Genomic DNA, 10,968 nt, shown 5'->3' on the forward strand with positions numbered 1-10,968 from the left:
CTGGAGCCTCCCAGGCCAAAAAAAAATCATTAATGTTTTTGGAAGGAATTAATATATATTTACTTGAGCTTGGAATTGTTAATAGATAATTATTTCAAGGGCCCAGCAAGGTGGATCACTTTGGGAGGCTAAGGCGGGTGAACTGCTTGAGCCCAGGAGTTTGAGAACATCCTGGGCAACATGGCAAAACCCCACCTCTACTAAACATACAAAAAATTAGCTGGGCATGGTGGTGCATGCCTGTAGTTCCAGCTACTAAGGATGCTGAGGCGGGGGGATTGCTTGACCCTGGGAGGTCAAGGCTGCAGTGAGCCATGAGAGTGTCACTGCACTCCAGCCTGGGCAACAGAGAGAGACTCTGGCTCAAAAAAAAAAAAAAAAAAAAAAAAAAAGAAAAGAAAAGAAAAGAGAAAAAAAAAATAATTATTATTTTTAAATTAAAATCATGACTGTCCTACAAATATAAAATGTACAAGTGCCAAAGATTTTATGTAACTCCTTTATTAATGAGAAAACCAGTAAGATGTCACAAGTTTAAAGAAAAAATTGGAAGAACAGACACACACGTATATAGGCAATCACAAAGGATGAAATAAAATTGCTAATAGCTGCAAAACTTGTTAATAGGCCAATAAAATGTAATGGCTGGAATCATCTTTTCTACAAGGGAAAAATCAAATGGATCTCTATTGGACAAAATTCATTTGCATCTCTATGGATAAGGATCATTTGCATCACTATCCGTTTTCTACAACTTACGGAGTTGTAAAGTAGCCTAGTCAAAGGCAGTGAAAGGCACAGACCTTTATAAAATCAGAAAAGCCCCAAGGGTCTTCTAGACAAGGCCTATCTTTTCACTGAAAGGATATTCAGTAATCTTTTGACCATTCCAAAGTCTTTCACAATCTTTCTGAGAGATTTGTTCTTATTTTTCAAATACAGCAGCCAGGCAGGACGATTTTGTTAACAGATTCCTTAAAACAGTAATGATGTTTACAGAAGATCTCCATTAAGTGGTTACCACTTTCCTACCCTATCTCCTTTTTTTTTCCCCTAATATGTCTGTTTGTTTCAAATTATCATCACGGAAGATTTGGTACTGGAGTAATGCAGAAAATATTAATATTACATCCAACAAAGCTTGACTCAAGAAGAGCTAATAAATTGTTGCCATATCCCTGTTAACAGGTGGTTTACTCCTAATACTTTCAAACCACTTACTAAAAGTTGACTAACTACTCTGCCCCACTTGTTGCCTGCAAAGTAGTCTCAAAACCAAGCAAACCAGGGGTTTCTCAGCATACTTTATTTTTATTAAATAACATTGACATTTGCTATATCCAACTGTAAAATAAAGACATTAGCCAATAGATAGTTCATACGTCTGGAAAACTCACTTTCTTTCTCCCTATTTTAATGACAAAGAACATAATTGGGATATGAAACTTAACCCCTGAAGTTTTACATGTTAACCCTGATATCTCTTCCCAGACTCCAGGCTCTAGTCACAACATGTTTTTTCCATGTCTGGCTCCTGACATGCTTGGGGCAGTGTTCCATCTTCCTGGCTCAAAACTTCAACTGTGCCAGCCAATACCTGTTCCTTCCCATTCATCTGGATCTTCTTTTTCATATTAAGGGAGGAGACCACCCCTCATATTGTCTTATGCCCAATTTCTGCCTCCAAAGAAAGAAAAAGTAAAAACTAAAAGGAGGAAATGAAATCCACAAGCAGACAGCCCAGCGCCACACCCTGGGCCTGGTAGTTAAAGATCGACCCCTGACCTAATCGGTTATGTTATCTATAGATTACGGACATTGTGTAGAAAAGCACTGTGAAAATCCCTATCCTGTTTTATTCCGATCTAATTACCGGTGCATGCAGCCCCCAGTCACGTACCCCCTGCTTGCTCAATTGATCACAACCCTCTCACGCGCACCCCCTTAGAGTTGTGAGCCCTTAAAAGGGACAGGAATTGCTCATTCGGGGAGCTCAGCTCTTGAGACAGGAGTCTTGCTGATGCCCCTGGCCGAATAAACCCCTTCCTTCTTTAACTCGGTGTCTGAGGAGTTTTGTCTGTGGCTTGTCCTGCTGCAATATCAGGAGCCAGAAAATTTCAGGATCACAGTGTTAGAGCCTCCAGGAATTTCCCTTGGCTTAGGGGCAAGGGATCATGACCACCAGCAGTCAAATATTAAAATCCATGCCCAGTAGGAAAGATTATCCAAACAAAACTGAGCATGAGATATTGAAATTTCAAATAGCAGCATAGGAGCAGACTAATGCAAAGAATTCTCAAATTAAATTATGACAAGACACCATCTCTCACACAAAAGTGGAAAATACTAAAATAAAATAAAAATACCCAATGCCAATTAGGGTGTGATTGGGTATATTGGTAAAGCTGTTTGGCAAACGTAATGGCTCTATAATCAAGAGCCTTAGAATTTTATACCCCCTTGATCCAACAAGTCCTCTTCTGAGGAATAATTCAGAATACAGTAAGCCAATGATGAGCTATCTGAAAAGAAAACCAAGAAAAAATGCAATTTATAATAGCATCACAAAGAATAAAATGGGAAAAACTTAATCAAGGAGGGGAAGGATCTGTACACTGAAAACCATAAAATACTGATGAAACAAAGAAGAAACGAATGTAAAGATATCCCATGTTTGTGCATTATAAGAACTAATATTGTTTTGTTGTTGTTGTTGTTGTTGTTTTGAGACGGAGTTTTGCCCTTGTTGTCCAGGCTGGAGTGCAACAGCGCGATCTCGGCTCACCGCAACCTCCGCCTCCCGGGTTCAAGCGATTCTCCTGCCTCAGCCTCCTGAGTAGCTGGGATTACAGGCATGGGCCACCACCCCGGCTAATTTTTATGTTTTCTTAGTAGAGACAGGGGTTTCTCCATGTTGGTCAGGCTGATCTTGCACTCCCAACCTCAGGTGATCCACCTGCCTCAGCCTCCGGAAGTGCTGGGATTACAGGCGTGAGCCACCGCGCCCGGCATATTGTTAAAATGTCTGCACTACCTGAGAAATAAAAATGAATCCTAAGCTCTTCAACCAACTGAACTGCCCCCTCTTGGTCAAAGGGATTTCAGAGAGGCCGGGCATGGTGGCTCATGCCTGTAATCCCAGGACTTTGGGAGGCTGAGGCGGGCGGATCACAAGGTCGGGAGATCGAGACCATCCTGGCCAACATGGGGAAACCCTGTCTCTACTAAAAAAATACAAAAATTAGCCGGGCGTGGTGGTAGGAGCCTGCAATCCCAGCTACTGGGGAGGGTTAGGCAGGAGAATCACTTGTACCCAGGAGGCATAGGTTGCAGAGAGCCGAGATTGCGCCACTGCACTCCAGTGTGGTGACAGAGCAAGACTCCGTCTCAAAAATAAATCAATAAAAAGGTGACTTGAGAGAAACCATGGAAACTTAGTTTCCAGTCAGCTATACCTCCTTATACCCTCTTTCTCACTAACCACAATATAGGCTTTCTTCCCTAAGGGCTAATGAGAAATTAGCCAGTTCAAAGGACTCCCTGCACCACTGGTTTCAACCAACCACCTGATGCTGTCCCTCCCTTTTGTGTTTTCAACACAACAAATAACCAGTATTCCTTCCTGGTAAGAGGCCACCAGCCATGGAGTTGTTCTGGCCAGTCTACGGAGGATGTGCAGTGAAAGTTTTCGTGTCCTCTGCTTCATCTTTTGCCATCAAAGGCCCAAAAACTACTCTCAGATCAGGCTAACAAAACCATTTTTTGAACATGGGACCCACAAAGGTGCATAAAATTCAATTGTGCATGCACATGTTTCTCCTTTCATAAATATTCATAACTCTTCCTATAGCTTATTAAATGTGTATATTTGGCTATGCCATTCAGCATAAATTCCTGTCTTATTCTTCTAATTCTTGAAGTGCTAGCTTCTGATTTCTGGCTGGAGGCTACACTTCCCAGCCTGTCGGAATGGGCCACCCTACAGGCTGCAATTCTTTATGTAAGATAAAGCTCTCCTTTCCAAATTTCTGAACCTCATGATTCTTTAGTTGACATACCCAAAGTGATCTATAGTTTCAATGTAATAGCTATTGAAATTCCAATGACATTTTTCATAAAAGTAGAAAAAAGTCATTCTAAAATACTTAATGGATCAAAAAAAGACCCTGAATAGCCAAAGCAATCTTAAGAAAGAAGAACAAAAAGAAGCATCACTCTTTTTGATTTCAAATTATATTACAAAGCCTTAGTAATCAAAATGGCACGGTACTGGCATAAAAATGACACATAGACCAGTGGAACCAGAATAGAGAGCCCAGAAATAAACCCAAACATATACCATCAATTGCTTTTTGACAAAGATGACAAGAACACACAATGGAGAAAGCACAGTCTCTTCAATAAAGAGTGCTGAGGAAATTGGATATACATATGCAAAAGAATGAAATTGGCCGTTTTCTTACACCATACACAAAAATCAACCCAAAATGAATTACAAATGAAAATGTAAGACCAAAAGCTATAAAATTCCTAGAAGAAAACATGGAGGGAAGCTCCTCGACATTGATCTTGGCAATGATTTCATGGATATGACATGAAAAGCACAGGCAACAAAAGCAAAAATAAACAATTTGGACTATATCAAACTAAAAAGCATCTGCATAGCAAAGGAAACAGTCAACAAGATGAAAAGGCAACCTGTGGATTGGTAGAAAATATTTGCAAATCATATAGCTGATAAAGGCCTAATATCCAAAATATATAAGGCACTTACATAACTCAATAGCAAAAACAAACAAATCCAAAACACCAAATGACCTGATTAAAAAATGGGCAAAGGCCTTGAGTAGACATTTTTCCAAAGAAGACACATAAATAGTCAACAAGTATATGAAAAGGTATTCAACATCACTAGTTATCAGGGAAATGCATATCAAAACTGCAATGAGGTAGGATGGCTATTATTAAAAATACAAGAGATAACAAGTGTTGGTGAAGACACGGAGAAAAGGAAATGCTTATATATAGTTGGTGGGAATGCAAAATTGGTATACCCATTATGGAAAATAGTATGGAAGTGCCTCAAAAAATTAAAAATACAACTATCATATGATCCAGAAATCCCTCTTCTGGATATATACCTAAAGGGGTTGAGTCAGTACCTTAAAAATATATCTGTGCTCCCATGTTCACTGCAGCATTATTCACAAAAACCAAGATGTGGAAACAACCAAAGAGTGTCCATTGACAGATAAATGAATAAGGAAATTGTGATATATGTATATATATACACAATAGAATGTTATTCAGCCTTAAGAAAGAAGGAGCTCCTGTCATTTGCAACATGGACATTATGCTAAGTGAAATATGACATACACACAAAAAAATACTGCATGATCTCATTTATATATGGAATCTAAAAAAATGAATACATAGAAACAAAGAGTTGAATGGTGTTTACCAGGGGTGGAGGGGGAATGGAACATGAAAGAGGATGCTGGTAAAAGGGTACAAAGTTGTAGTTATGTAGGATGAATAACCTAAAGATCTAACATACTGGATGATGACTATAGTTGACAACACTGTATTGTATACTGAAAATTTCCTAAGAGTTGATTTCAGGTGTTATCACCACACCAATACTCAATGTGAGAAGTATGATATGTTAATTTGCTTGGCTATTGTATGAGTCTGTTTTCACACTGTTATAAGGAAATACCTGAGACTGGGTAATTTATAAAGGAAAGAGGTTTAATGGACTCTCAGTTCCACATGGCTGGGGAGGCCTCAGGAAACTTACGATCATGGCAGAAGGTGAAGGGGAAGCACGTGGCAGAAGGTGAAGGGGAAGCAAGCACCTTCTTTACAAGGCATCAGGAGAGAGAAAACAAAGGAGGAACTTCCAAACACATGAAACTTTTGGATCTGCTGGGCGCAGTGGCTTACGCCTATAATTCCAGCACTTTGGGAGGCTGAGGCGGGCAGATCACCTGAGGTCAGGAGTTCGAGATCAGTCTGACCAACAAGGAGAAACCCCATCTCTACTAAAAATACAAAATTAGCCAGGCATGGTGGCACATGCCTGTAGTCCCAGCTACTCAGGAGGCTGAGGCAGGAGAATCACTTGAACCTCGGAGGTGGAGGTTGTGGTGAGCTGAGATCGTGCCATTGCACTCCAGCCTGGGCAACAAGAGCAAAACTCCGTCTCAAAAACAAAAACAAACAAACAAACAAACAAAACCATCAGATCTTGTGAGAACTCACTATCATGAGAACAGCATGGGGGAAACTGCCCCCATGATCCAATCACCTCCTTACCTCGACATGTGGGGATTGCAATTCGAGATGAGATTTGGGTGGGGATACAAAGCCAAACCATATCAACTATAGTAATCATTTCACTATGTATATGTGTACCAAAACATTATTTTGTATACCTTAAATATATACAATAAAAATAAGCCAAAATATAGTGAAAAGTTTATGCATAAAAAGGTTTATTCCATCATTACTTATAAAAATTAAAAACAACCTGAATTCAAGAAAAAGATTGATAAGGAAATAGTAGTTTGAGCATATTTTGAAATAAGATGTGTATTTAATAGTATGAAAACCTTAAAAAACACAGGAAATTTTGTGAAGAGATTTTTTAAAATAGTTTTTTTTTTTTTTTTCGAGACAGTCTCCCTCTGTCGCCCAGGCTGGAGTGCAGTGGGCGCAATCTTGGCTCACTGCAAGCTCCGCCTCCCAGGTTCACGCCATTCTCCTGCCTCAGCCTCCCAAGTAGCTGGGACTACAGGCGCCCGCCACTATGCCCAGCTAATTTTTCGTATTTTTAGTAGAGACAGGGTTTCACCATGATAGCGAGGATGGTCTCGATCTCCTGACCTCATGATCCGCCCACCTTGGCCTCCCAAAGCGCTGGGATTACAGACGTGAGCCACCGCGCCTGGCCTAAAATAGTTTTTATTGTAGAAAAATTTTGAACAGGCCGGGCGTGGTGGCTCACACTTGTAATCCCAGCACTTAGGCCGAGGCAGGTGGATCACTTGAGGTCAGGAGTTCGAGACCAGCTTGGCCAACATGGTGAAACTCCATCTCTACTAAAAATACAAAAATTAGCTGGGAGTGGTGACACTTGGCTGTAATCCCAGCTGCTCCAGAGGCTGAGGCAGGAGAATTGCTTGAACCCGGGAGGTGGAGATTGAAAGATCGTGCCATAGCACTCCAGCCTGGGCAATAGAGTGGGACTTTAGAGAAAAGAAAAGAAAAATTTGAATGATACGAAAGTAGAGAAATTAGCATGATGAACCCTCATGTACCCATCAGCCTGCTTACCATTTGTCAACACAGAGTAAATTCATTTCATCTCCCCCATTCACTCTTCCACCCAGATTATTTTGAAGCCAATCCCAGATACTGTATCATTTTATATGAAAATGTTTCAGCATGTATCACTAAGAGATAAGAATTACTTTTTTTAAAAAAAGGTGATATCATTTGCCACCTAAAAAATTAATAACTTACCCATCAGAAAATAAGGCATCAAATACATATATATGTATATTATATATACATGTATACACACACAAATACACATACATGTATTCAAACAAATAATCACAATTACATTTCTCTCATCAGTTTCTTTGGTCCTATATAATTAATAATTGTTCTGCTGAGTCTTGGGTCAGCAATCTGATTTCACAAAGTTAGCAGCTTACAGACCAAAACAACGAATCCTGGACATCCTGACTTAGTTCCCTGGTACAGTCTGAAAGTTGTCTAAGGGATATCAGCTCAGAAGCTCGTATTCAGGAGTCCATTCTTTGAAGTATCAATAGTTAAGAGTACCCAGTACAGTCCTTTCTGTGAGGCTCTAAGACTTTTTTGTTGAAGATCTGATCTATGGCTTGTAACTTATAGCAGAGCCTTCAGGCAAGCATGTGAGAGAAGCAGAAAGGACCTGGAAGACGGCATGGCTGTGGTTCCTTTATTACAGTAACGAGCAATATCAGAATGGAAGGGAACAAAGTTGTCTGACGCATGAGTGTCTTGTAAGGGTTTGATCAATGTTTCCCTTGAGGGTAAGGACATATTATGGATAAAGACATTGCAAAATCATTAGGACCTTTCTGTAAAGTGTAGGCTGTCTGAGCTATTTATGTTAATTGCATTGTACCTATAAAACTTAACCAAGGGAAGGCGGGGCATCCCTTCTGATTAGACAACTTTTCCCAAGCTACTCTTACAATGTGTTGAGCTCTTTAAAAAAATATCAAGCCACTCAACAAACCTAATTATTTCTATCACTCGCTTTTTCCTAAGTTGAAAGAGCACATCTTTGTGATTTCCCAGAGGTTCTCTGGGAGTTGCCAAGGTAATCAAGTGTAAAAACATCCTGAGAATTCCATTTTTTCTGAATTTAAGGTGTAATCTTAAGAAGCCCAAAGCCACAGATTTAACAAGACATTTGGTCCACAATTAAGATAGTGTCACGAGTGCCTGAGAAAAAAGAGTGTAGTTATCTATTCATTAAAGCATCAATATAATATTTTTAAATAAGCATAGAAGTAGGTAAAACAATTTTAATGAATCTCAGCTCTTTCAGATGTGAGAAGACTTTGTTCTTTAAAACGTAATAATGGACATGATAAAATCAACACAAAGCACAGAAAATTATTCTGGTGCAGTATAAATCTCTTCTACCCGGATGGATTATTCAAAAGGTGATAATAACTGTTTATTACCCCTTGTTAAGCGCTATAAGACCAGTTTATCATTTTAATAGAGAGAAAGCCAAATTCTATTTTTGCATCAAATCAATATTTGGCAATAATGGATTCCAAGTTTCTTTTTTAAAAAATTATCTTTTGAATAAGCCCATCAAAGCTGAGGAAATGTTGCCAAATGTTAACATATTTTATTGCTTCTTTTCAGACAAGCAAGACAAATATGGTTTACTTTTTGCAAACCTTCTACAATTTTCTACATCTATCCATTTACGTTTTGTCTTTCCCTATCTTATTTCATGTTCTAGAACAGACACTTTGCCTTTAGACCAAAACTACTCACTTTTTCCTTGAGAAATGAAAAAAATTACTTCACTTTAGAAACATTGTTGTACTTCTTTACACTACTGCTTGCCCTACTGCCACTAATGCTCCTGGTATAGTCTTAATTACCCATATTAACTATAACTGTAAATCAATAACTAGCCTCTGTTTCACAGAGAAAAGTGGGAGATGAGTAATTGGTAATTGAGTTTTAAATACAGTAAAAGCAAAACTGAACACATTCATTAATATGATCCAAAGGTATGCTCCCTGTAATATAGTAAAATAAGAAACAAAGACGTATATATCTTTTTAAACTATGCTTAGTAATTAATGTTTTTGTATTCTATTATAGAAATTATCTAGGCATGCAAAGGTTATCCATTAATTAACTTGATTTAATATTAGTCCAAGATTTTGAAGTTAACTTGAGGTTATTAAAAATTATGTTTGAGCTGACATACTATAGAACATGATTGATTCCTAAAACATTGCCAATATTGTAATTCAATTTGGTTACACACATAATTTTACATTTTTCATAATCCATGGTGTTAAACTATTTTATCAATAAACTAGTATATAAAGTTCAGAAGGCAAACCTAGGTCTTCTAAAAAATGAAATGTACAAATATATTTAACGCACCCAAATCAAAGAAAAATACATTAATTTTTTTCTAAATCAAAATTATAAACTAGTCTGATTTAGCTAAAGATTTATTACATGCTATCTTATGTGTCATCCATGTGTTATACATATGTATATATACATACATGTATATGTATCCATATATTATGTATATATGGATACATAAATAACATGTATCCATATATACATGTGGTATATATAATATATGATATTACATATATAATTACATATTTACATTATCATATAAAATGTTTCTAAGTTGGCATTTTCTGAAAGAATTTTTATTAAAAAGCTAGAGTATTAAAATTTTAGTTTATTTTTTAGGAATTCTGGAAATATTGGATTAATGTAAGCACTTATTACTCCCTATAAGTCTATTAGAGCAGAGTTCTTTTAATTTAATAGACCTTGTAATCTAATTTATTAACACCCTCCAGAGGTAAGAAAGCATTTCACACATACAATGAGAGATAAAAGCTTTTCTCAATTACAGAGTTGGGTGGCTTCAGCTCTATAACCTCAGCTACAGTTCAGGAGTAAACAAATAAACAAAACTCACCATTCCAGTTTTCAAAGGACTGTTTTTCTTTCTAGTAGGCACAAAATATTTTCTCAATTAATTTGAGTTCACAAGTAGATAAACAGACAAAAAAGACTGACAACGCAGATTAGCTATTATCTCTTCCTTGATAGAAAATAGGTCCCATTGTCCACCTCCCAGAGGTCACCAAATGATCTAATCATAAAACCAAATTATCCTTAATAATCAGCTATGTGCATATCAGAATTATGTACACACAAGGCCATCTCTTAACCATGGAATCAAGACTGGCCTAGGAGTCTTGGGTCTAGCTCTAGAAGGGGACATGACCATGGCCACAAATTGCACAAGGGTACTCTTTAGATTATGCAGTTGAGACTGGCCTAGTGGTTTGAGACATGACGTGGACTCACTGTGCCTGCTATCAGTTGTGAAAAGAGACATATGGGAGCAGATATACCAGCTCTCCAAAGTAAGTCTTTTTTTTTTTTTGCAGACGGAGTCTCGCTCTGTAGCCCAGGCTGGAGCGCAGTGGCGTGATCTCGGCTCACTGCAACCTCCGCCTCCCGGGTTCACGCCATTCTCCTGCCTCAGCCTCTCAAGTAGCTGGGACTACAGGCGCCCGCCACCACGCCCGGCTAATTTTTTTTTTTTGTATTTTTAGTAGAGACGGGGTTTCACCATGTTAGGCAGGATGGTCTCAATCTCCCGACCTCGTGATC

The 10,968-nt window shown here is 38.3% G+C and overlaps 1 annotated feature.

Annotated features, from left to right (window-relative positions):
* Positions 2,690-3,191: an enhancer, noted in NCBI's record as "H3K27ac hESC enhancer chr4:129613233-129613734 (GRCh37/hg19 assembly coordinates)". NCBI's record gives its function as "activates a minimal SCP1, AML or CMV promoter by ChIP-STARR-seq in primed H9 embryonic stem cells {active_cell/tissue: H9 hESC(primed)}" and the evidence as "EXISTENCE:reporter gene assay evidence [ECO:0000049][PMID:30033119]".

The sequence above is a fragment of the Homo sapiens genome, chromosome 4, assembly GCF_000001405.40.
Source record: "Homo sapiens chromosome 4, GRCh38.p14 Primary Assembly".
NCBI classification, from domain to species: domain Eukaryota; kingdom Metazoa; phylum Chordata; class Mammalia; order Primates; family Hominidae; genus Homo; species Homo sapiens.